This window comes from Homo sapiens, chromosome 14 (genome assembly GCF_000001405.40).
Source record: "Homo sapiens chromosome 14, GRCh38.p14 Primary Assembly".
NCBI lineage: Eukaryota > Metazoa > Chordata > Mammalia > Primates > Hominidae > Homo > Homo sapiens.
The window spans coordinates 24,945,878-24,973,502 of record NC_000014.9 but is presented as its reverse complement, the minus strand read 5'-3'; the positions used below and the strand labels follow the sequence as shown (position 1 = coordinate 24,973,502).

The following is a 27,625-nucleotide window of genomic DNA, read 5'->3' as shown; positions in this document are numbered from 1 at the left end:
GAGACAGGAGAATTGCTTGAACCCAGGAGGCAGAGGTTGCAGTGAGCCGAGATCACACCACTGCACTCCAGCCTGGCTGACAGAGTGAGACTCTGTCTCAAAAAAAAAAAAAAAAAAAAAAAAGGAAGAAAGCTTTTATTTAAATAAGTGTGAGAGAATTGACCTTGAAACATTGGTTTCTGTTTATTCCAAATAAGGATTAGGTTAATAAAAAAATTGGGTTATTGTCAGAAGATATTTGTATTTCTTTAGTGCGCTAAGCAGTGCCGGGCATATTCTAGGGCCTCAATTAATATCTAGTGACTAAGTGGAAGAAAGAAGTAGCCTCACCTAATACTTTCCTAGAATTTTGTTAATGAAATTCAAGTGTGTTTTGTTTTGTTTTGAGACAGGGTCTCACTCTGTTGCCCAGGCTGGAGTGTAGTAGCACAACCATGGCTCACTGTAGCCTTGACCTCCTTGGGTTCAATCGATCCTCCTGCCTCAGCCTCCCAAGAGCTGGGACTGCAGGCACACAACACCATGCCCAGCTGATGTTTGTATTTTTTTGTAAAGATGAGTTCTCACTCTGTTGCCTAGGCTGGTCTCGAACTCCTGGGCTCAAGCAATCCTCCTACTTAGGTCTCCCAAAGTGCTGGGATTACAGGGATAAACCACCATTTTTGTAGTTTTTGTAGCAATGGGGTCTTGTTATGTTGCCCAGGCTGGTCTTCAAACAGTCATTTCCCCTTGGCCTCCAAAAGTGCTGGGATTACAGGCATGAGCTATCACACCCAGCCCAGGTCTTAAAAATATTTTCATATTCTTAAATTTAGATTCCACAGTTCTGCTTACGCAAACAATGAATAGAATACACTTAAATAAAGACTGATTTGCATTTGAGCTGAGCTGAACATCGGCCTAGTATGGATACCTAGTGATTCTAATTTTGTTAAGCTCTATTTTCTCAATATTTCATTGACATTTCTTATAGATGAGTAGTTGAAAGAAAGGTAGACGGTCTAGAAGCTACTTGAATTTTGCCTAGTACCTATGTATAATTGAAGAATAGTTGTTTGCATTTTAGGCATATACTGTTGTCTGCCTAATTTTGATCATGAAGCCTGCAAGAGTGATATAGGGACTCTAACAGCCTCATCTCAGTGAAATAGCATAACCATTTCATTTCCCCTGCCATAGAAGATAATGACCTGGGACTTACGGAATAACTGTATTTCCTTTGCAAATTACCAAGACCTTCAGGTTTAAAGTCCAAAACTATGACAATTGCTTTTTTGTTGCATTCTAATGGAGGAAAATCTTTTGTTCTTCAGTCTTTTCATGGTTTTGAATCTTGAGAGGATAGATTGATAAAGTAGATCTGACATTTAAGCAGACAGTGTAGTGGAAATGGGGGCAGGAGAAGGGCAGGCAACTTTGACACCCAAGATTTTTGCAGTTTGATGTTTCTTGTAAGTGACAAAGAAGCAGCCACCCTTATTTTTTAACTTGTGCAAAGCTTAGAGGCATATCAGTTACATCCCTGATAAGGTAATGTTTTAATTAGCAATTAATTAGTCAAATATTTATTAAGAATTTTTCTGTGCCAAGCATTCTATGTTCCGTGGGTACCGCTATGAAAAGAATTCATGCATCTTACCTAATTTGGTGGGCAAGTAGCAATAGACATTAATCCATCACTAAAATAAACATAGTTATAAACTGTGAAAGATTAAAAAAAATACAATGATGTGAAAGCATGTATGCAGAGAATTTGGCCTGGTTTGGAGAACCAAGAGTTTTGAGAAAAGTAGGGCTTCACTGGTTTTGAAAAGAGGATTGTGTGGGTGAGAGGGCATTCCAGGCAGAGGGAATGGCAGGTTCATTAAAAAACTAAGCAGGATTTTGAATTTCTCCTATTCTCCTATTCAGTCTAGGACCTCTTTGTAGCTCAGCTCTCATAGGAGTCTGTGAAGTGAAAGCTGAGCCCTGGAATGAAAATATTCTTCCTGCTATTAGTGTGAACTGCCTACACCTTCTGGGAGGCCAGGCCCTTCAACTATTGTGGTTTGGTTGATGAAAACCAGCTATTCATTTTGAACTGGCAAACTTTGTCCAAATTAGGACAATGTCTGCAAATAATTTTTAACCATTCTTGAAACAGCATGAAGCATCAAATTTTAAAAAAGGGAGAAGTATCACTACTTTAAAAGCTTGCCAAAATATGCATCTAGACATGGGTGTTTCATATATATCCAATGTCTCTTACTAACTTTTCTTTGTGTGATTTTTTTCCCAATATCTAGTACATTTTATGATCAGAGTTAGAGGTCTGTGATCATAAGACTTACTATTTTCAGAGCGGTTTAAATATCCTCTGGAGGTATCCGAAAAAGGTGCTGGAGTGGGATAAATAAGATGATCTTTCTTGGGTTATTTAGGTTTAATTCTATAAGGAGAAAAATAATCTCTCCAGTTCATTATGGTGTCTTGGGATAGGATTTGAGTGTTTCTCACTGGAATCACAGATTGATTGACTTCTTGAATGATATATACAAGTGCTTATGTACTGAGATGCCTCTGTGATTAACATTCTTAAAGCATTGGTTTCTGCTTTTTCTTTTCAGCAATGACTAAAATTAAAAATACTGACAATACCAAGTGTTAACATGCGAAGCAATTTGAGCTCTCATACTTTGCTGATGGGAATGTAAAAATGATATGACTGCTTTAGTAAACAACTTGGCAGTTTTTTATAGTCAAACATGCACCCCATTCCTAGGCATATACTCAAGAGAAAAAATAAAAACATACATCCACCTAAAGACTTATACACAAGTATTTATAACAGTCTCATTCATAATAACCCAAACCCAGAAATAAATACCCATCTACATATTAAATGCATAAACAAATTATTTTACATTTTTGCAGTGGAATACTACCTTGCAGTAAAAAGAAATGAACTACCAATATATGTAGCAACATGGATGAATCTCAAAAGCATGTTGTGTGAAAAAAAAACAGACAGAAGCATCAATATACTATGTGATTCTATTTATATGACATTCTAGAACAGACAAAAGTAAGATGTAGTGGCAGGATTGACTGAGAAGGGGCCTGAGGCAATTTTTTGCAGTGATGTTAGGTGTTCTGTTTGTTGATTGTGGTGTTGATTACGTAGGTGTATACATTTTTGACAGCTCATCAGGCTGCACACTTAAAGTGGTTGTATTTTATTATATATAAATAAATTTCAATGAAATTGATTTTTTTTTTTTTTGAGACGGAGTCTCGTTCTGTTGCCCAGGCTGGAGTGCAGTGGCGTGATCTCAGCTCACTGCAACCTCCACCTCCCGGGTTCAAGCAGTTCTCCTGCCCCAGCCTCCTGAGTAACTGGGATTACAGGCGCACACCACTGCACCCAACTGATTTTGTATTTTTAGTAGAGACGGTGTTTCACCATGTTGGCCAAGCTGGTCTCGAGTTCCCGACCTCAGGCCATCCGTCCACCTCAGCCTCCCAAAGTGCTGGGATTGCAGGCATGAGCCACCACACCCGGCCGAAATTGATTACTTTAGAAACACTTTTACAGAGTCGCTAGTGGGAAAGATTAACCTCATTATCTCCATGCACCTCCTAAGGTGGGTGGAAACTAATCCTCTCCTTTATAGGCATGAGAGGTTATTCCAGTGGCCTTTTTGAACACTCTGATAGAAGCAGCTGTGTATCATCTAAACCTGTGCTTGTGTCTGGTCTGTCTACATACAAAATCTTTATTTTGTGCTATCTTTTCATTCTTGCTCACTCATGTGGATTAGGTTGCTCAAAGACTGGAGCTAATATGATAAATTCCTTATAGCACCCAGCACATTGCTCAATAGGGACAATAGATGCTTAATGGAAAATGTATTTGAGTTTTTTGTTTACTACATACCTGATTATAGTGTAGACTTTATTTCTAACTTAGAACTGTTAACACATTCAAAGTGTAAAGCAAGCCCTACCCACAACAATGTCTATAGTCAGTTGTCCATGGTAATATGGGTCTATAAAGCTAAACTAGAAACATGCTAAGTTAAAATCAGTTTGTTATTAGACATCAGTTACCTACCAAACATTCTGTAATTTCATGTTTAAAATCTATTTTCTGGATCCTGTTTTAATTATGTGTGTGTAATATATGATGCTACTCTTTATATCCATAAGTGGGTGAAAATCTTCCCTTGGCTGCTACTCATCCCCAGAGAAGGAGCATGTGGGAGCTTTAATTTTTGTGATTAGTACATTCTTTTACATGTTTTGTTGAAACAGAAAATCTTAATCTTTTCAAAATGGTTTTAGATTTGTAGGGAGAGCAAAATTTTCTTTAGGAAAAAGTTCTGAATGCTTTTTGATGAAATAATTTATGTAAATAGATACCCATGGAAGGTAATGACATGTATTAGGAGCGTAGAACCTGCCAATACTGCCCTTTATTTCAGTGATTGGCAGCCCTAGGTGTTCCTTATAAAACCCTCTAGAATTTCTCAAAGTACAGATGGCCTGGTTCTAATGCAGCACGGGGGGCTGGTGGGGAAGCTAATCTGTATTTTGAAAGTGTTGTGCAAGAACTTCTGAAGATAAGGTTGAGAAGTTTTACTGTTTTCCTGGGGTATGCTCTGGGTTGTCTTATTGGGATATCTGACATAATGATATATTTTTGATACTCAATTTTATTAAAAACTTCTTTAATTTCTTTCTTGTTGTCTGGCCATGGTCAAACATCTGATTTTTCTGGGCTTTAGTTTATTCAGTTGAAAAATTCAGAGTAGTAAGATTCAGGTTTATTTGGGTTCTGAGATTCTAGGGATCTGAACCCCCATGGAAGTTTTATACCAAATTTCATTCTTATTTCATGTATGTCATGTAGAGAAGAATCCAGGTAGTTAATATCAACACTTACACATTTATGAGGGTTTGAGAAAATTCTTTACAGGTTGTTACTGGAATTAGGGTAACCAAATTTAATTGTCAGTGATCTGGCATAGGAGAGAAACTCTGTTTCTCTCTTTCTAATTCAGACTTTCTGAATTAGAAAAGTAGAAAGTAGAAAGAAATTGTCTACTTTCTAATTCAGACCGGCTCTCATCTCAAAGTCTATAAATATTAGAAGAGAGGGAAGAGACAAGACAGATGAAATTTGACCTTGGTAGAAATGGTTTATTCAGCAGTGGTAAGTTGACTTTTCAAGAGTTTTTATCCAGGAAAAACGAAGAAATTCACACTGAAGTCAGAGGCACACAAAGGTATTAGCAGTGAAAAAGGAACTGCAAAGCAACTGCAATAATTTTATATATATATATATATATATTCTTTATTATATAAATAGTGAATATTACGGAAATTAAGAAATTTTTAAAAATTATATAAAAGTTAAAAGTATTCATCTTATGCATATTATATTATTTAATTCCAGTTAATCCCTGCAGCATCCCTATTTATTGGGTGGTATGTTCCTCATTTCACAGATCAAGGAACCAGTGTTCATCAGAGGTCATGATCTGCCGGGGTCACCATTTTGGAAGTGGCAGAGTCAGACATCCACCTGGTCCCTGACCCATGGCCATGTGCAACTGCCACAGCACCTCATTTCTTCTAATTCACTTGGGAGGGGTGTGGTGGAGAGGACCGTGTTTTAAATAGTAGATTCCTTTCTGACTCTTCACAATTGATAGAGATGTAGAACGCTTTTGGCCTCCACAGTGTCATTCTATCTCATTTCTGAGGTTATTGATTAATAGACTTTCCTACATTGGAATATATATCAGGGTAAGCCTTTTGTCTCTTTATTATAGAGATTTGGTGTGTACATCCAGCTATAAAACTTTAACTCTAGAAGACAAGGCAATAAAAAAACAAAGTTATTCTCAGTGCCTTGATTGTGAGTTTTCTTACATCCTTTTTAATTTTATAAATATGCAATATCCTTTGTTATACCATTTATTGAGCATTTGGCTCTTCTAGGATATGTGCACAGACACATTTGATTAAAGCATTTGTAAAACAATAGCCATTGGTTACATGAAGTGAAAAGGAGAGGGTTTTCCTCTGAAACATTTTCTAGTTCAGTAGGTTTGGCCACCAGGTATAATTTTAAATGACCTGCAGGGCAGCACCTGCCATGCACCCATCACATTCTTCAGTGCTCATACAGTCAGGGTGGCATCAGCCTGCTTTGGGATCAGTAATAGTAATAATAATAGTAGTTGTGGTATTTATTGAGTTCAGACATATTCTGTACCCTTTCCACATGTTAACTCCTTTAATCCTTACAGCAGTGCTATGAGGTAGATAATAGTTCTTATTTGTAGATGAGGAAACTGAGCATGTAGAGGCAAATTAGCCTGCCCAAGATCCTCAGCTAGTGAGTGACAAAACAAGGACTTGAACCCAGGTTTGATTCTAGAGCCTACTCCCTTATCCACTGTGCTGTGCTCTCCTTCTCTTGTAGGCATAGGGATTGTGTGAGAAAAGACTTGCCAAACCAAACGCCTTTTCTTACCCTCTCATACGGCTTTAGTGATAATCATGTCTCGATATTACTCTGGTCTCCTACAGGTTTAGGCTTTGGTTGGTTTTGGCTGGGTGGTGACAGTCCTGTATACCAACAACTGGGGTGTTAAGAAATTCACATATTACAGTGACACTGTTAGTAGATATATTTGACTCTTAGAGAGCAAATGAACTCCCTGGGGAAATTTGGAGAGACTCCTGGCAGGGACACTGCCAAATATGAATTTGTTTTCTTCTGTTGTGTAGTAGAAAAAATAGATGCCTGAAATTTTTTTAGAGTTTCCTTGGTGGTTCTAGATCTCTTCCTGTGAAAACCAGTGATAATAACATTTGTCTTTCCTAAAACCTTGCTATTAGGAAAGTTCAAAAATAGATAAGTAAGCATTGAATAGGTATCATCTCATTTAATCCTCACAACAGCCTTCTCTTGTTATTTCTACTTTACAGATGAAATAGCTGAGGCTTAATGCTGGTAGTTGCACTGCCTAGGGTCAGGTGGCTAAGTAATGAGGGTGCTGACTCATGCCTGGGTCCATCTGACTCCAAAGTAGACACACTTGTCATTTTTTTTTTTTTTTTCCAAGACAGGGCTAGATCTGGAGAACAGAACTCTCCCCTCCCTTAAAAACAATGTGACAACATTCCTTGAGCAGAGTGTGCTAATCTCGGAGGATTTAGAGGATGTGCTGTCAGTGACTTCAGCTTTTCTAGTGGTTTAGCACGCCAACAGAGTTTTCTTTTTCCATTCTCTCATGTATGCATTCCAATACTAAAACCAGATGGAAACAAGGGAAAACTCTTAACAGAGGCTAGTGCCAAATATTTCATTTAAAAAGGAAACTCCATCTGTGTGCTCTCCCACCACACAGCCCACTGTTAAGAACAGGAGTTTTACAGCTCACTCACTTATGTTCGTTTTGATTAGTTTTGACTAATTGCAAAGGTAGAGCAAGTGGTGGTTAGGGAGATTGCAAACTAAGGCAGCTGTCCTTCTGGCATGTGGCTGGCAAGGCACTGTGTACCTGGCAGACATCCTAAACAGCAGCCTACCAAGAAGGCACTGTTTTAAGCCACATAGATGCATTCTTTGGGTGATTTTCTAGGTTAACACTTTGAGAAATTAGTGCACCTTTCTGTGGTAGTGAGGCTTTTGTCAGTAAGCTATAGTCAGAGGCACCTGTTGCTCCCTGGAAGAATTCCCACCCCAGTTATAGAAGAACACAGGTTAGGCAGAAGACTGACTTATGGTAAAACGCTGACTGTACTAGCTCTTCATGTCTTTGAAATTCAGTTTTCTCATCTATAAAATGGCATTAATATCTATATCCCTGCATTAAATTCACAGGGTATTTTGAAGAATAACTGAACTGTGTATATGTGTGTGTAATGCATGATATGTGGAAGGTATTCAGCTTTATGAGCAATACTATTATCTCATCATTAGTGGGATACTCACTATCCCACTAATGGTTCTTGCCACACAAAGATTGTTCATCTGTAGCTTTTTAAAAACATGTTAATGACCATACACCACCTTTACCCCCCAAAAAACCCATTGAAATAAAAATAATCTAATCGTAAAGTCTGCCTCTCAGGAACAGACTCAAGACATTTATAAGACAACAGCAAAAAGAAAAAACATGTTAATATGTATGTATGACAGGCATCCGTGACCCATGTCATGTGAAGCAAAATCACACGATAACCCAGACTTGGCCTTGGGGGTTTTCTCCCTCTCCTTCCCTACATTTTTTCCCCATTCCCCTCTGGTTTGCATCCTCTCCAGTCTGTGTCCCACTCCTGACAGGAATCTCAAGGTCATTCTGACCCGCCATTTTTAAACCAGTCTACTCTCGATTACCTAGATTCCAACATTGTTTTTCCCCAAAGCTAGAATATTAGGTGGCATCACACTGCTGTTCTATTTCAGAGTTGGAAAATTTCCACTCTAATGTCATGAATATTTGCACAATACTGGGTATATTGGGTGCAGAAGCCCTTTGTGTTTAGGCCTCTTTATCCTGCTTCACAGGGAGTTAGAACTGGGTTAGTCAATCGAAGTCCTGTCCCTGAAATGGGAGATGTTATTTTCCTACACCTATCTTTACTGGATCAAAAGAAAAATTAAAACAAAATAAAACAAAACGTTCTCTGAGGTCAGTCAAGTTCACTGTTGAGCAAACATCAGAAGTGGGAGAGGCTGATACAAATGCCTGTGGACCCAGCTTCTCAGCCCAGATCAGGTTCTTGTTTCTCCAGCTCTTTCCTGTTACCCTTCCTTTACATACACACACACACACACACACACACACACACACACAGAATGAGAACTGTACTAGCTCTGTCATGTCTTTGAAACTCAGTTTTCTCATCTATAAAATGGCAATAACTCACAGGGTATTTTGAGGAGTAACTGAACTATAGGTGCATATGTAATGCCTGATACATAGAAGGTACTCAGCTTCCATGAAGAAGAGACAGGGAGGGAGAGAGAATACGAATGACTGACATTTCCAGCTCAGTTCCAGTCATGCTAAACCATATGCAGAATTTTCCAGAAGAAACTATTAGCCACAAGCACAGTGAGGTTGCCAAGCTGTCCAATACCATAGAGAATAGACTACTAGGTAGTTACCGTGCTCTGAGCATGAGCATGTGCCCCCTCTGGCCTCCCATGTCATCTCTGTAATAGCACTTAGCATTGCTGGGCTTTGTCAGTTGGCTTTCTGTTTACTTCCATAGACTGTCAGCCTCTAGAGAGTAGAGACTGTTGTAGGTACCTCCTTTCTGTTCCCAGTGCTTTGATCACAGCATCCTTGTGGAACAAATGAAGTGTCTGGGTGGGGGGAATTGGGCATAATCCCACTCCTGCTGCGCCTCTATAAGAGCTGAGACTGCCTGAACTCTGGGCTCACTTTCTGGGTTTGAGCTCACACGTTCACTCTGGATTATAGTGGCTGGTACTTGTTTTGGCTTTTTTTTTTTTTTTTTTTTTTTTAGAAACTTGCTGTTATTCACACACACTAAGATGCTACTGGGTGGTCTTTTAATTCCCTTGGAATCCATCAGGTTACGGAGCAGGAGATTTTATTCTACCTATTGGACCAATTACCAATAAGAAAATGCACATTTCTCTAATGTATTCAGACTTTTAGAATCTTTCAAAATGAGCAATTTATAAATGCTTCCATTGTGGCCTACAGTGGAAAGCGGTTATCTTAAAATTGTGAAGCACCTGAGTGTTTCTCTTGAAGAAAGAGTTCATTTAATGGAGTAACAAGTGATCATTTAATAGACCTTGAATATGTCAAAGCTTTCCCCAGATGCCCTTTTCTCATTGTCACCGTTTTCAATTCTACATTTCCTGAAAGAGGGCTTTCCAGAGAAAAATGGAAACTGGATTCTTGTTTTTCAGTGTTAACCTCTCTGAGGATTTTCATACTGTCTCACCTCCACCCTTTTCACACAAATTATTCTTCATCCACTTTGTGTGGATCCAATGTGGCCGAGGTTGTAGACCTTACGCTACACTGCATTTTGACGTTTTTATCAGTTTAACAAGTATACTGCTCTGAGAAGCATATAGGGTCTCGGCAAATGGCTTCAAGATAGCAAGAATATACCTGGCCTTCATTCCTTGAGATCCAAGTTTTCATCTTCCTGAAAGGAAGCATTAGCCGCCCTCGTCTGTTTTCTAGCTAATGCACACAAGCAGTAATTACGTGGGTTATACCTCTGTTCAGAATCCTTTCTATCTTGTGGACAGGTCAGAGTCAACTGTGTTCTTGGATCCGTGATTTTTGAGAATGTGCCTCCTCTAAATGTATACATATTAGTTATAAAAAACATGAAACCAAGGGGAAAAAAACAATGGGAAAATCATGCCTTTGATTTTCAGGATTCATGTTTTTTAATACTTCTCCCGTTTTATAATATCTAGGTATAATTTTGTTCTCCTTTTTAATTTAACATGGTAACAAGAATTTTATTTTTTATACACTTATTATAAAGATAATTTTAATGTCGCCTTGAGTACCATACAATATTTGATCATTCATCTATTGCTGGATTTTTTTTTTTCAGTTTTCACCAGGAGAAATAATGATCTCAGTCTTGCTTTAAAAAAAGAATACCCATCTTACAGTGAGAAAACTAAGGAACACGTGGATAACTGTTAGAGGAAACATTCACACTGCTAGTGAGTGGTAGGATGGGACTGGAATCGTTCTTCTCTGTGCCCTGCTTAGTGCTCTGCCGTGAGCTAAAAATTAACTTATTTTAAAACCCCAGTCCACCAGAACCTCTTAAAAATAAAATATCTTGTCAATTTTATTGTATTTGACAATATTATTATAATTGACACATGTAATCCCAGCACTTTGGGAGGCTGAGGCGGGCGGATCACTTGAGGTCAGGAGTCCGAGACCAGCCTGGCCAACGTGGAGAAACCCCATCTCATTAAAATACAAAAATTAGCCAGGTGTAGTGGCGTGTGCCTGTAATCCCAGCTACTTGGGAGGCAGAGGCAGGAGAATTGCTTGAACCTGGGAGGCAGACGTTGCCGTGAGCACAGATTGTGCCACTGCACTCCAGGCTGGGTGACAGAGTGAGACTCTGTCTCAAAAATAATAAATAAATAAATAAATAAATAAATAAATAAATAAATAAATAAATAAATAAAATATCTTGTACTTTGTGCGCTTAACAACCAGTTAAAAATCCCTATAATATTTAACATGGTCTACACCAGGTTCTCTTTGAGATGCTTATAATGCCTGCTCGCTTTAGGGTTATGCCATTATTTGATCTCTATATACGTTTGCAGGTGTATATAAGGGTACTGTGCATGTGTGATTCTGTCTGTGTTTGCAGAGAAAGAGAGGAGAAGAAGGTGTCTTACCTAGACTCAGTCCTATGTTCTGCAAAAGAGGTACCTCATGCATTTGGTCTGGTTCAGTTAGGAATCCATCAGACATCTGCATCTTCTAATATATTAGTGTTAGATGAGGGATGGGAGAAGTGGTAAATGTCAACCAAACATATTTATGTTTTTTTTCTAGGTTGGTACATTTAATTAATGATTCACATTTCACATTATATCACAGCCAACATTTGAACACAGAGAGAAACCAGGGTGAGAAAAATTAACTTTTCAAAAAATTATTTTTTTTTAGCTTAGATTTACAGGGTACACGTGCAGGTTTGTTACATGGATATATTGCACACTGTTGGAGCTTGGGTTTCTAGTGAACCCATCATTCAAATAGTGAACATTGTATTGGATAGGTAATTTTTAAATCCTCATTCCTTTCCACCCTGCTGCCTTTTAGAGTCCCCGGTATCTGTCATTTCCATCTCTATGTCCATGTGTACCCATTGTTTAGCTCTCACTTATAAGTGAGAACATTCTGTATTTGATGTTCTGTTTCTGAGTTACTTCACTTAGAATAATGGCCTCCATCCATGTTCATTCTTTTCTATAGCAGCATAATATTCTTTTTATGTTTTTTTTTTTTTGTTTTTAGTTCTGAAATCTGTTCCTATTAATTTTTTTAACTTTTATTTGAGGTTCATGCATGTTTGTTATATAGGTAAACTTGTGCCACAGGGGTTTGTTACACAGATTGTTTTATCACCTAGGTACTAAGCCTATTACCCAATAGTTATTTTTTCTGTTCCTCTCCCTTCTCCCACCTTCCAGCCTCAACTAGACCCCATTGTCTGTTGTTCCCTTCTTTGTCTCCATGATTCTTGTCATTTAGCTCCCACTTAAAAGTGACATGTGGTATTTTGTTTTCTGTTCCTGTGTTAGTTTTATAGCTGCATAATATACCATAGTATATAAATGCCATATTAGGAAAATTGACTTAGGAATTTTCTTTAGAACTTTAGATTTTTATGTCCACAAGAATCCTTAGTCATTCTCAAAGCTGATGCCAATGTTTACACGAAAAAATGGGGCCTGCAGAAATTGGATGCTTTGCCTGACATCACAGAATCACTACAGTCAGGCAAAAGAAGAAAAAAGAACATGTTCAGATCTTTCCAGTTTAATTTTTGACTTTGGTTGAAGTGGGGTTAGATGAGAAAGAGATGTGATTATTGGCCAAGCTGAATTTGAAGATACATGTCTCTCTGACGTTCCTTTTCCTATCTGTATGCAAGAACAATTTGTACCACTCTTGGCAAGAGCCTGTCTACTAATGATCAAAGAAGTGGCTCTCTTTCTTCTCAAGTTTGATTATTGTGAGAAACTGAATATGGGTTCAGCTGTAAAGGCCAAATGTGCAGACCTATTCCACTTCTGTCAGTTCTTCCTAGACTTGGGGACCCATGAAGCAGAACGTGCCCATCGGGAGTGTTCTGGAAGAGAAAGGCCAAAAAAGCTAGTCTCTAAATGTGATACACTGCCTGATCCATTGGGTTAGGAGAATAAAATATTAAAATTTCAATTTAAAATTTAAAATATAATTGTTTTCTAACTTACATGTTTCATATATGCTTTATAATTACCATAATATAGTAGAATAGTAGTTCATGTATGTAATTTAAAATATGCATCTATTGGGGGTTAACAGTCATAAATTTTTTATTGAAGGGAGGCATAGTCATGGTTAGAGACCCCAGGCTAGAGTCCTAAGAGGTAGAAACCTTTGCTGCAGTACATGTAACTTCTGGCCAGTGACCTGTGATCAACTGTTGTCAAACGTCTGGCTTCAGAGGTAATTGCTCACAGTAGTGAGCATATAACTGCCCTTTGGACTCAGTCTCAGCCCCCACTCCTTGCTCTCAATCTGCCCCCAGATTCCATGGCTTTCTATGGGATACAGATTCAGCTGCTCTCTGGACTAAGTGTCCTAACATATGCAAGAAGCCTGTCACAGTGCTTAGCACTTAGCAGCTGCAAATGATGGTTCTCCTTTCAGGGGTTGTCTGCTCCCCTTTTGGAACCTGAAATCTGGCTGAGACAATTATTTGTTTCAGTTCTAATATTAGGCTTGATTTGGACTAGATGTAAACATCTGTGACTTTGCTTTTAGTACACTGTTATGAGGTCAGGCCTGGTTTGTTTAGTTCTAAAGCTTCTTGGCCTTTTGTACTGTTTAAAAAAGGGAAACCTACATTTCCTTTCTGGACCTGACATTTATGGATTCATCCAAGGGAGTCTCATTCTTGGCTGATACAGCAAAGTTCTTGGTTCTCTTATGAGCAATTCCATTTGGGCTAGTGCCTTCACCTTTTTGCACATAATTATTGCCCTTTGTCAGTTGTTATACTTTATATGTAAGGACTGTATAGATCCTTGTAGCACTGCTATGCCAACCCTTTTTGGGAAGGAATTTTTTTGAACTAGAATTCAAATACTGTGTCTCCAAAAACATTTACATGTGCCACATCTTACCTGAAGATAAACGTTAAGTCACAATACTCCTTTTCCATGAAATTGGGAACTGTTAAAAATATCACTTTTGTTTTTTTAAAATAACATAGCTCTGAGATTGGACCTGATTTTCTGACAGGTTTCTGAAATGGTCTGAAGGAGAGATTGCTCTGTGTTCTCCCCATCGCTGTTGCTCCTCACTCAGGTGACCTGTCCAACTACCATTCGCCTCTTGTGCCCTTTGCTTCCCAGGGCTTGTCTTTGCAAACCACCATGCTTGGCCACTGTTCCTTCACTCTAAGATGACCCTTTCTCTTCCCTTACCAAGACTATTAAAAACACAGTTCCTCAGAGCGACTGATCTGATATGTTAGTAAAGAAATAATACAGTTTACAAAAACCTTTGAAGACTGATATGTTGCTTAAACCCCTTCCCTTGAAGAGATTTGTTTTTGCAGAAAGTGGCAACTCTGCTAGAACTAGTGGTAGTGGTGGTGGTAATAGTAACACTGAGAACATTTATTGATCAACGACTATCACCCATTTTACACCTTCCTGGATAATTATAACTGGGGTTGATAGACGCATTATGACAAACACTGTGACCTCCTGTTTAGATCATTGTTCTAGAGCACTTATTTCCTTATGTGTCTGTTGGAAGCATTCATTTGTTCTTTGTTGATACTTAAGGACTCTTCTTTGTTGATATTTAAGGACTCTTGCTTGGAACCTTTCAGATAGTAATGGTCTTTACCTTGAATTTAGAGGACACTCTATTAAATGGACATTGATTTCATTTAATTTGGCTTCTGTTGGTTTTTGCATTCTAATGGAGAGTATTACAGAAAAAAAAATGCAACTTGATACTAAAGAGCCTTGCATTACTCATTTTCCTAAATTGACTTACTAACCAAGGGCACTTAGGATTATAAATGTCTTCTTCAGTTACAAAAAGTGTATTTATGGTGTTTTTTTAAAATTACTGTGTAGCCAGCCTTCCAGATAAAATTCTCTAGCTTTAAGGCTGTGATATGCCAGGAATCTTGTTGCCAATATTTTTCTACATAATATTTCAAACTCTTTTCCTTCCAAAATCTAATTTTATCTTGAGCCACAATACAGCTCTGTAAAGTTGAGGTCAGTGGAAGAAAGGAATCTTCTTCCCCATAAAATGAGCTCTTTGAGTCTGGGCTGGAAATACCTTATAGGTCACAAGCAGGGGGAGAGTTTTGCAGAAATGAGTTTAAATTTTCCTGTGACCAGTTTAATTTTTGCCTCGAGGTAGGAATTGGATGATGGTACATAAAGTCTTTTGAGGATACAGTGCTTGGTGTTATACAATGTAGTGAGCATTATAAGTACTTTGGTATGGGCAATATTAAAAAGAGATTTGTATTGAAATATTTAAATTTATAAGTTGGATTATTCTATTTTTAGCCTAACCGCATTGAATCCAATTAGAACTTTGTTTTGTTTTTATGAGAGGTACTTTGTAGAGCATCATTTTTCCATATTTCTAATGAGTTTTAAAAAGATAGAGTTCTTTGTGTATGCTTGGAAGTCAGATATACCATATCAGTAAGAAGTTGCATCACTCTTTCCTGATATGAGGCTTTATTTTGTCATACATAGGTACCAACTGGGGAAAATCTATGGCCTAGTAATGGTTCTATGTGCATACTCTGCATTTCTTTTATTTCCAGAATCAAAGTAACTCATCAGAAGTAACTGTGTAAGAGCAAAAGCTTTGGCAATAGTAAAAACATGGACTTGAATCCTGTTTCTACTACTGACTAGCTGTATAATCTGTGTAACCTAGAGGGCCAGTAGGCCTTTCTAAGGCGTAGTTTCCATTTATGTAAAATGCTGATTAAAAGTACCTATCTTAGAGGGCTAGTGTGAGGACTTAAAAAAATTGTGGGAGAAAATGTATATTAAACTGCCTGGCTTAGCCCCAGAATATAGTAAATGCTTAGTAAATGGTAGTTCCGTCATCATTCACATCTAGCATTTGAAAGCATTCTTCTACTGGCATGAAGAATAAAAGTTGTCAGTTATCTGCCAGAGATGGAACTAGAAAAGGCGAGAAGGCAGCTGGTGACTTTGCACATTCCTCAAACAGGAAATCAAAGTTCTATCAGCGGGCAGAAGAGAGTTTCTAGTCCCAGGAGCTTGACACACATTAGGATCGTGATGACAAGTTTTGCCACTAGCTTGATTGAAGTGTTCTATTCTGAAGATGGAAATTTTCCGATTTTTTCTAAAGGGCAAACCAATAGAGTTTCAATTTAAACCAAGGCTAGATGCTTACAAGTGTCCTTCAATATGCCAGGTTTTGGAGTGGTGTAAGAGCATGACTAGGGTTAGACACAAGTCTCTTCAAATCTCAGCCATCTCCTTTTCTGGCCATGGCCACAGAACATACCTAACCTCTGTGATTGCTTTCCTAGACAATGGGGACAACTCATACCTTATGGACTTGGTGTGTAAATTAAGTAAGACCACTAGCAAAGAGCCTGGCACAGTGCCTGGCACATCAGAGACCTCAGTAATTGCTGGTTGGTAGTGTGCTGAGCCTAGTGTGTGTGTGTAGAGGGGTGCAGAATTATGCAAAATGTGACTCCGTCTTCAGGGAGCTTAGGAGCCTCAAGAATACGCCGAATGCTTGAAAAGCAGTATGTTCAAGTGAAGAACACAGAGGGATGCACAACCTGACTGCTTTGTGTCTGCATTACCTGTTGACACCCGAAGTGCCATTATCCTGAAATAGCAGGAGTGCTAGAACTTGTTAAGAGTGAAGTTTGGGTTTTTGGTGTTGAAGGCGTGGTCGGTGTATTACAAAAATAAAAACAGCACTGAAACCCCTGTCTCATTACTTAGTGTGAGGTATTTTGTTTGTTTTTTGTTCTTTAAGCTGACGTGCTGTCAGTTCTTATTTTCTTCTTAGAATGTCTTTGTTGGGTGGAGAGTCTTAAACCCCAGCAGGCAGCAGGCAGCTTTCACAAGTTCGTACATGGGGATGGCTTAAGCTGAGTGCCCAGTCCCAGAAAAGCTAGAATTCCCTGCAGTTCGATAACACACTTTAAGGATATAAAAGAAACTTCTGAAAACCAGTTTCTGGTTTATCATTTTATTTTCTTCATATTCATTTTTATGCAAACGAATGACATTCATTTTGGATTTTATTCTACCATTAAAAGCTTTACAAGCAAAACCTTCGTCTGAGAACTTAGTAGTGTTTCAGACATGTCCCTGAGCACCTGTCCCTGTGTCCCCATAGGCAGCCGCAAAGCCCTCTGCGGTGGGTGTGGCCAGTCTCTGTAACTTGGTGTTGAATTCCTTACTGAGGTCCTCTTCTTTTCAGTGTAACTCCAGTCTATTCAAAGATGCAGTGATTTTTTTTTTCTCCCTTAATTCCATTGACCCATGTGACCAGACACCTAGTAGCCACTGTTTTCTTCATGTTCAATTACCCAACTGTCTCCCATTTGAAAATTTGACTCTCTTGTGCTTTTGGGTATGTATGGAAATAAGTAGCCAACAGCTGCAAAATGCAGTGGAGAAAAGGGTGTGGGTTTCAAAATCCAACAGACTTCAGTTTGAGTCTTACACCGACACCAGCTGTGTGATCTTGAGCAAGTTACTCCCCCTCTCTGTGCCGCCTTGGTTTCCTCAGCTCGAAAGCTGAATATTTGGAGTGGTTGTAAACATGTGAAGTAATGCTGCATATATGAAGCACCTGGCTTACTTATTTCCTGGCACGCAGTAGGTGCTATTGCAGGGAAGCTGCTCTTACTGTGGTTGTTGTCTCCTGTTGCCCACACAGTTGGTTCAGTGCTCTTGTGCTGGTCTCCATGGAGAACTTGCTGGGGGAAGCAGGGCCAGATTCCCTAGCCAACCGAGATACCCTGTGCCCTGAGGAGCACCCTCACTTCCTTACCACGGTACCCACTCATCTCATCATGGGCCATATGTTCAGGTTGCTTCCACTGAGGGCTATGACTTCAGCCTTGCTAGTGATTAATGGGTTCACCCTGCAATCATGCCTAGAGCCCTTATGTTGGCTAGGGCATTTATATTCCAAGCTGTCTGTCCTTATCCAAAGGAAGGCAGGCAGGACCATAGTAGCCAGATCAAAACAACGGTGATACACTTTAATCCTCGCCCTTCCACCAGTGTAGGAAAGATGAAGGCGCTGCAGCAGGTTAGTTGGCTGTTACAGCAGGTGGAGCAGAAGAATGTGGATGAGTGGCCTGTGGATACTTGGGCATCAGATGTGGGACTCCTGGTGAAGCAGGGTAGCCATCCCCAGGAGGTTGATCACTCTAACATCAATCTAACAGGCCCTTTGACCATTTAGAAGAGGATGACCCAGTTAAGTATCCTCCATAAGGATGTTACTCTCTCCTCCTGCCATGTTCAACATAATTTCTATAGACCAATACCTGAGCAACAAAGAACTTTTGGATGGGAACAACAATAAAGATAGTTAACAATAACTGAACACTTATTATATGCCAGTTACTAGACTAAGCAGCTTACATGTGTGAGCTTACTTAATCCTTCTACAACCCTCTCAGAGAGGCATGGATGCATGTTACCTCCTTTCTTCAGATGCGAAGACAGAGGAGTAGGTATGCCCAGTAACTTGCCCAGTGTCACAGAGCCAGTAAATATGGGAGTAGGGATTCAAACCAGATCCTCCTGTCTGCAGAGCCTGAGCTCTTTATATCTGCGCTGTGGACAGAGGTGTTTCCTAAAGCCACTTCTATGTCAGGCTGTGGCCCAGCCCTCAGAATTTTTCTGTCAGTGAAAGCCAAGGGGGGACTGTTGCTAATTTTGGTTGACTATTTTACTGCCTTATGTCAGCCTCACTTTATAGGAAAGATGACCTATGTCCTGCCCAGTCCTAAATCACAGTGGGATCCGGATGCCACTTGGCCTCTCATCCCCTAGCTCCTCCTGCACATGCTTGTTCCACATCTGTGGTCGCACTAAAGGCAGCTCTCACGCAGATCTTAGTGCTGCTTTCCCCTCCATTAAGGGTGACTCTCTTAGCAAAAAGGCACTAGTGAGCCTGTAGACATAGTAAAGATTCCGCTGTATAGGTGGAAGAGTGTTTACACCACATACAAAAGCAAATACCACAGCACTCTCTGTTCCCCTAAGCTCTGGCTGGACTGCCTCAAGGGACTTTTCTCTCAGAGCCCTCTTAGTATTAATAATATCTGGCTCTGCTTTCCAGAGTCTTCTCTTCCCCTTCAGTCTGCTCCCCTCCCACCTTAGGCAAAGCAATTCAGACTTCTTCAGCTGCTACCAAACCTTGCTACCCAAACCAGTTTTAACACTAGGTACAATAGAAATAAACCACCCCTAGTCAAGAGGACTCAACTCCCTTAGAAGCCAGTGAGGGTGTGAAAGGTGTGAAATAGCTTTGTTTCCCCTGTTACCTTCATTAAGGAGCTGTGACACCCTATGCACAGGCCAGAGATGATTGATGGGCCTGTGGTCTCTGAAAAAATGCTGGTCACTTTCATCTCTAAGAGCCAGTGACCAAATCCCTGTCCTCTTCTTCTGAATTGGCAGCCTTTGCAAGGATCCTCAGCCCATCCTGGGAGTTCTCCCTCTTCTTCCAACCCCCTCTATTGTCACCTTTACCCCACCCAAGAACAGCAAGTAATGTTTCTTATGCACTCCGTGGCTTCACGCTCTTGGTCTCTTCTATGCCCATTTTGAAGAAGATGCTGGCCTCTGCTATTAGTATCAGTAATTCTCAACTGGCCACCAGCTTAGAATTCTAATTATGTCCACCATTTAGCCTGAGATAGTTTTTTGTTTATTTATAAAAATCTTTGTTGAGATCTTACTGTGGACAAAAATTAAGATAATCAACTGTTTTCATGGGATTTAGAGAGAGAGAAATTAATCAGCTATGAAATACTGAGTTGATTTCTATGAAAGAAAACATAGAACAAAAGAACTTGGTGTTTTCAGTAGAAAGCGAGTGACAAACTGGGATATGAGGGTTGAAAAAGAGTTTCCTGGGGACATGCGGAAAGCGTGGGAGCAGCAGGAAAGGGTAGCCACTGTCAGAGGAAGCACTGCTCCCTGTGGCAGAAGGAAGCGTGACAACTTGGAGGAACACAAAGAAGGCCAGTGTGACTGCAGCTCAGCAAACAGAGAGTGATGTTGAGGGAGGCTGATAATGGCTCTCAAAGATAGGTTTACATCCTCATCCTGGCAACCTGTGAAGTTCACCATATTTGGAAAAAGGGTCTTTGTGGATGTAACTAAGGATTTTCAGCTGAGGTTACCCTGGATCGTCATCCTGCTGCGCCTACATGCCATCACATGTGTCTTTATACAAGTGACACAAAGGGAGATGAGACACACAGGGAAGAAAGCGATGTGAATATGGAGGCAGAGATTGGGGTGATGTCGCCATGAGTCAAGGAGTGTTGGCAGCTATCAGAAGTGGGAAGGGGCAAGGAACTGATTCTCTCCTAGTGCCTCCAGATGGAGTGTGGCCTTCTGGCCTCCTTTAGACAAAAAGGAATGCTGTAGAAAGTATAGAAGACATCATTCTCACCCTCATGCTCCCCATCAGAAACACAATAGAAATGTGAGCAGGAACATGTCTTTGTATTGAGCATTTGCATATGCTCATGAATATATGAAGAAATAAAGTATGGTTGGGGATATCTTACTCTCAAAAGCTTCCTGGTATGGTTTCCTCCTCTGAGTTGGAATGCCCTCTGGTCACATCTTTTGTTTTTACTTATTTGATGAAATTTATGGACAGCATTAAATAAATCAAGAGGGAAAACAACGTACCTTTTTTCCCTAATGCTGAGTGAGATAAGGTGTTTTTCTGATTCCTACTGTGCTACCTACTGTGCTATTTTTTCCTTGTATAACAATACTTTAAATTCTTTCAACACGGAGTTTTGTTGTAATGACAAAGAGAGTTTTAACTGTGGAGTTGGGGTCAAATTTGTATGATTAAGAGTATTAAATGCTGATTGCAGAGAATGAATGGCTATAATTCTGCCCCTTCAAAAATTTAGTTTTATCTAGAAAAACTCAGAAAGGTACAAAATGACATTTTAGATTAATACTCCTCAGTTTTACATTTGGGCAAAATTTAGCAATGACCTTTGTGGAGGTTTAGAACAAAATCTATGCTATTGATAGGTGAATATTTGATAACTGTATTCATGCCGACAGATTAACTACGTGCATTTAAGTAAGTTTGAAATAAGCTTATTTGTCTTTTTTTTTTTTTTAAGGGATAAAGAATGGCTACCCCCTAAGCAGAGCAGCCTGAAATAAGCTTATTTGTCTTAATGGAATTTTCTAAGTAATTATTATTTTTAAATATTTTTATTAAAAATTACAAATATGTAACAGTAAAGAGAATAATATCATGAATCCCCATGTAACTAGCTCTATTGGACAGTCATATTGTATTTATTTCCCATCCACTGCCTCTCACTGGATTATTTTTATGTAAATTATATCATTTCATTCTTTAATATTTTTATATGTGTATATTATATATATAAGTATTTTAAATATGTGCTAAAAACACAATCAAAATACCAGTATCACAACAATAAATCCCTTAATATCAAATATTACTTGGGTTTTAGCTTTCCCAATTGCCTGATGTGTATTTATATTTCATAGATGTAAATTCAAAGAAAGTATAAAAATTGTTTTTCAAATATATTTTATTTAAAAGGATGAAACACATTTTATACACCAGAAGGATTAAAATAGTGAAAATACAGCAAAGAACTTACTGTCTGTTTGAACAGTTTGGCTATTGTACAAAAAGAAATATAAATATATAATTATGTAACTTGACATTTTTCCATCACATAAGAAATTTTTTAAATGAAGAATGACCAAAAATTATACAGTAAAGCCATGTAATATAATAGAGTTGCTTGGCATTCAGGGCTATGTAAGAGAATATATTTTTCAAGTAAACATGCACTTTAGAAGTTGTGTATCAACCCCATCAAAAAGTGGGCAAAGGACATGAACAGACATTTCTCAAAAGAAGACATTTATGCTGCCAACAAACATGAAAAAAAGCTCATCATCACTGGTCATTAGAGAAATGCAAATCAAAACCACAATGAGATGCCATCTCTTGCCAGTTAGAATGACGCTCATTAAAAAGTCCGGAGAGGATGTGGAGAAATAGGAACGCTTTTACACTGTTGGTGGGAGTGTTAATTAGTCCAACCATTGTGGAAGACAGTGTGGCAATTCCTTAAGGATCTAGAACTAGAAATACCATTTGACCCAGCAATCCCATTACTGGGTATATACCCAAACGGTTATAAATAATTCTACTATAAAGACACATGCACACGTATGTTTATTGCAGCACTATTCACAATAGCAAAGACTTGGAACCAACCCAAATGTCCATCCATGATAGACTGGATAAAGAAAATGTGGCACATATACACCATGGAATACTATGCAGCCATAAAAAAGGATGAGTTCATATCCTTTGCAGGGACGTGGATGAAGCTGGAAACCATCATTGTTAGCAAGCTAACACAAGAACAGAAAACCAAAACCGCATGCTCTCACTCATAAATGGGAGTTGAACAGTGAGAACACATGGACACAGGGAGGGGAACATTACACACGGGGGGCCTGTCGGGAAGGGGACTGGGGGAGGGATAGCATTGGGAGAAATACCTAATGTAGGCGACGGGTTGATGGGTGCAGCAAACCACCATGGCATGCGTGTACCTACATAACAAAACTGCACATTCTGCACATGTACCCCAGAACTTAAAATACAACTTTAAAAAAATTTTTTAAATAGTTTTGTGTCTAGAGAAGCTCAATGTGTACTAGAAGATAAAGATAACATGGTAATTATTGACAGAGGATAACCGTTATCTTGATCTTTAGCACCACAGTTTAGATTTGCCTATTTAATAACTTTATATAAATAGAATCCTAGAATATGTACTATTAGTGCTTGATTTTTTTCCCTCTCGCTATTGTTTGTGAGATTTATTTATCCATATTGTTGCATGTAGCTATAGTTTGTCATTCTCATTGCTGAATAGGATTCTATCATAAAAACATACCGCTATATTTTATTCTATTGTTCATTGACATTTAAACTTTTTGAGGGTTTGGTTATTACAAATAGTGTTGCTGTGAACATTCTGGTACATGTCTTTTGGTAAATATAATTACATATTTCTGTTGGGTATATACCAGGAATATGATTGCTAAGTTGAAGAGTATGTACCTCTTCAGCTTCTGTGTATAATACCAAACAGATTTCCAAAGGTGGTACCAATTTACACTCTCACCAGCAGTGTATAGAGTGCCTGTTGCTCCACATGTGTGATCATTTTTAATTTTAAATTATTTATTGAGCAGGGAGGGTTATTGAATGAATATTTGTAGTTGAAATTTGACAGGTATAAGAAAGCCAGTTACAATTGTTAAAAGAAAGATTTTAGATAGACTAAATTTAGTAGAGTTTAATTGAGCAAAGATCAGTTGGCAAATCAGGAAGCCTCCAGAACCAGAATGGGTTCAGAGTGACTCCAGGGCTGCCACATGGTCAGATAACATTTATGGAAAGAAAAAGGGAAAGTGATGTACAGAAAACAGAAGTGAGGTGCAGAACAGCCAGATTGGTTACAGTGAGGCATTTGCCTTATTTGAACACGGTTTGAATAGCTGGCTACCTGTGATTGGCTGAAACTCAGCCACTGTGATTGGCTGAGGCTCAGTTACACTACAGGAGTAATTTACAGCCTGTTTACATATCCAGTTATGTTACAGTTCATTATTTGAAGAGAAACTTTTAGGGTAAACTTAAAATATGTAAGGAGGCAGCTTTAGGCTAAATTTAATTTAACACTATTTTTATTAATCTGAAATTTTAAAGAAATAGATTTTGGCCAGATTAAAGGCAATTTTCTCACTCATTCTACATTCGAGAAATATTTCCATTTATAAATTATCTGTTTATAACTATCTTCCGTGCGTCTCTCTCTCACTGTGAGGAAAATGGAGCATGGTTTGCCATGATTCCTTTGGGAAGAGCTCTAAGCAATCTAGAACACAGTTGTTGAGGTGCCTCTCAGTCTTGTCTTTTCAAGGCCACTTAGTGCTTAACTCAAGTACCCACTTTCCATCTCTTTAGTTGTCTGTTACCCTTCTACAGAATCCTCTTTAGTTTCTGCATTTCTCTGAAATTATGAAGATTTAAAAACTTTAAACTTGGGAAGAGATAATCATTACTCAATTTAGAGAAAGGGCTCCCCTTCTGGCTCAGGCATTTTACACTTCTATTAATATTTTTAAATAAAAGATATTAGATGTTAAAATACTGGCATTGTGTAATGAAGTATCCAACTATAAACAGCATTTGTCTGTAAAATAAAATGTTTGCTCTAATGGTGCTTACTCTCTACTTTTTCGTGTTGAATTTAGTACCAATTCAGTTGGATTTCATGCCTTTTTCCTTTTAGTTCTTTCCTTATCTTTCCAGCTACTCTGTGTGCCCTCCTCTCCCCCATTGATGTCACTATGACACCGAGTATCAAGATGTGCACCAACGTATTAGAAAGAAATTGGGATCGATTTTAGGATGCCTCCTAGATCGTATTCCCTATTTTATGCTGTGTAATAGGTTTCTGTAACATGGAAAAAATTCATCTCCTTCAGTACTTAGAGAAAATTAATAATCAGTCACACTAATTGTGTCTTTATTGTTATGTGTGACAGACTCAACATTTTAAAAAATTATACTGAGACAAAATATTCTATTTTCCTCTATTACCTGCTATTAATTTTTGAAAGTGTTGTTAAGGATAAACTCTACAACCTAGCGGTCTCTGGTTAATCCAGGAGAACCCCTGCTGAGATAGCAACAAAAGAAGAGAAACTTTGTTAAGAATCAGTAAACATGGTGCTTGCTCCATGTGCTCATGGTCAGAGGACAGTTCTCACAGTCAGAGGACAGTTGTCACCTAGTTTTCCCATTTCAAGAGAGTTCTCTGAACTCAGAAAATCAACTATGTGAGCATAGTGTCAGGTGGTCCCTATTTGGGCCAGTAACAGTCTGTTACTGAGTGTGAGGAACCTTCATGCCACAGAGTGCTGCCCTACAGCCTGAGCTCCTGGCACTTCCCATAGATTCTCTGTGCAAAACATCAGATCTCTGCACTTAGGCAGGTGAAAAGTGTCCATAAAGAGCATAAAGTCAAGGTTTTTCATAACCATTATAGTTTTCCTTGGAGATTCTTTGGGTCCAGGTACCAGGTAATGCCACCACCTAGAAGCCTCAGTGAAGCCTTGCCTTTTTAAACTTTTCCCCTGTGAGTTTGAAAATGGATCTTCACGAATTGTAGAGCTATTTCAAAGTGCAAGTCCCTTTGAAACATTTTTGCTTTCTCCGGAGAGAAGTGGGATTGGCGCCTTTTCTCACTCCCATCTTCATGGATGTAGCACTCTGTGCCCTCTGTGTAATACTAAGGCAAAGGATACTGCATATGGAGACTGCCGTTTTGTTTTAAATTAATGTTTGTTTTCAGATTGGAAATGGATCTGACTTGAGAAACTGTCAGTCACTAGTGAAAATCTGAGCAATCTTTGTGAAGGCAGAAATCAATCTGTGTAGAAATATGAGTTTATATAACAAGATGATACTTTAGAGTGTGGATCCTTACAAATAAAAGGTACATCTTGAGAAGTGGCATGTAGAGTGAAGGCATTCCCTTTCAAGAAGACTGTTTGGATGTGATAATGTCATTCTGCAATTGGGAAATGTGTGGATTTGGGCTTTTTTTGTCATTAAACTTTAGCTATAATATTACACATTCTTATCCAATCACTGCCAGTTTACTATTAAGTTGAACAGCCCATTCCCCAGCCATTATTTTTAGTCAGTTTTCCCCATGTGTGAAGAACGCTTAGTGTCTAAGCATAGAAGTTGTGTTTGTGGAAACACCTCTGATTTGTGTAACTGATGCGTGAATGATACTCTTCCTCTCATTCCTGACTTCTTACCGATGTAGTTGGCAGTGACTCTTCTTATCAATAATTGGTCTTTGCGCGTCATTCTTAAGAATGTGTAATGCTCTGCCTCCTGGCATTCTGTTGAAATTGTTCTGAGTTTTCTGATTTACTTCTCCATCGCCGTCTCTTTCACCACGTTGTGCTCTCAGTCCCTATTTTCTTCAAAATGCCATCTGTGTTCCCTTCTGTGGGCTGTTCCCATCATGGCTGTCATTCCTGCCTGAGCATAAGCCACAGCTTCTTATTCAAACCCATTTGGTCCCAGAGAATCAGAAAACTGAATTATTTTGCTTTCCCTTCACATATGGAGCTCTCTATTAATATTCCTTTTCTCCTTTGCTTTCTATTTCCAAAGACCCCTTTCACCTTTTTAAGCAAGAGTAGATTATTTGGGGAGACTTTTACCGATATACGGGCCACTTTCAATTTTCTAGATAATAAGCACTTGACTGGGCCATGACTCTGCCTTTACTTTCTCAGATTGTTTCTTCAGAGCAATTTTTTAGTAACTCATGCTATGTAGCTTTTCATTTTGAGTTACAAAAGCTCCAGTCTTGTCATCCAACTGCTAAAAATCCTGGGCCCAGTCATCTCGGTCTTCTCCCTCTTTACAAAGGCTAGCCCCTTCCTGAATACTCTGTATCCCATACCCTCTTAATTTCTCAAGGATTGCTCTTCCATTTATCTTCTCTCCAATCTGCCCTATGAAACTGTTCCCATTAAGTACCAACAATGCTTTTGTGTCGCCCATTAAAAAATAATCTATTCAGGACTCCAGGCCCTCTGCCAACCTCTCTTCTTCTCCCTTTCTTGGAGAGACATTTGCACTTGCCTTGGGCACTTGTAATTTCTTCTTCACCCTTTAACCCACTTTGGTCTGACTGAGACCCTCCGTACTTGATTCCTGCTCCTGATGAGGTTATGGGGTACCCCTGTGTTCCCTAAGCCAACGGCTACTTTTCCAGTCCTCTTTCACCAATCTCTCAGTAGCATTCATCATAGTCAATCCTTCTCTGCCTTCAATTTTTTCCCTTTTGGCATCAAACATACCATATTTTATCTTGGTTACCTTTCTACCCCACCACTTGCTTTTGGTTTTGTCTCCATTGCAGATCTCCTGTACCTTAATTCTTAAATTTGGACACTCTTAGGACTCTCGCCTGGGCCCTCTTTCACATTTATCTTTTTCTACATTCTCAATGCTATGATCAATAAGTGTTAGGGGCTATTTCTAGTACTGTTATATTTACTTTGTAGGGTAGTTCTGACAGGAAAATAAAATTTTACAGAAACTGCCCAGAATATAGAAAATATCCCATAAACAGTGCTACTGTTACACATTTTTTCATATTTGTTTCTCTCATACATTTGTATAAAGAGTAGACTCAAAGACTTGTTGAAATAAAGAATAGTTGAGTTTATGTTCCTTTGGTTTCAGATATTCAACATCTTGGCTTTCTGTTAGGTGTTAATTGCCACATACTTCCTCTAAGAAGGTGTATGTCTCGATCCACCAGATATTAGCATAAACGTTTTCAGATCTTTTTCTTTAATCGATCCACATCATTGTTCTACTCTCTTGAGTTCAACCGTTTTGACTATTCTCAAATCCAGCGTGTCTCCCTGGAAGTC

General features: G+C 38.9%; 1 protein-coding gene across 28 annotated transcripts in view, besides 2 other annotated features; it reads left to right on the top strand.

Annotated features, from left to right (window-relative positions):
* Nucleotides 1–27,625, top strand: part of STXBP6 (syntaxin binding protein 6) — a 240,694-nt gene that overhangs the window by 76,645 nt on the left and 136,424 nt on the right. The gene's annotated exons all lie outside the window — the stretch shown is intronic.
* Nucleotides 19,238–19,307: an enhancer, noted in NCBI's record as "active region_8223". NCBI's record gives its function as "activates an Ori minimal core promoter by ATAC-STARR-seq in GM12878 lymphoblastoid cells {active_cell/tissue: GM12878}" and the evidence as "EXISTENCE:reporter gene assay evidence [ECO:0000049][PMID:35858748]".
* Nucleotides 24,786–25,080: a silencer, noted in NCBI's record as "tiled region #10677; HepG2 Repressive DNase matched - State 6:EnhF". NCBI's record gives its function as "represses a minimal TATA promoter and a strong SV40 promoter by Sharpr-MPRA in HepG2 cells {active_cell/tissue: HepG2}" and the evidence as "EXISTENCE:reporter gene assay evidence [ECO:0000049][PMID:27701403]".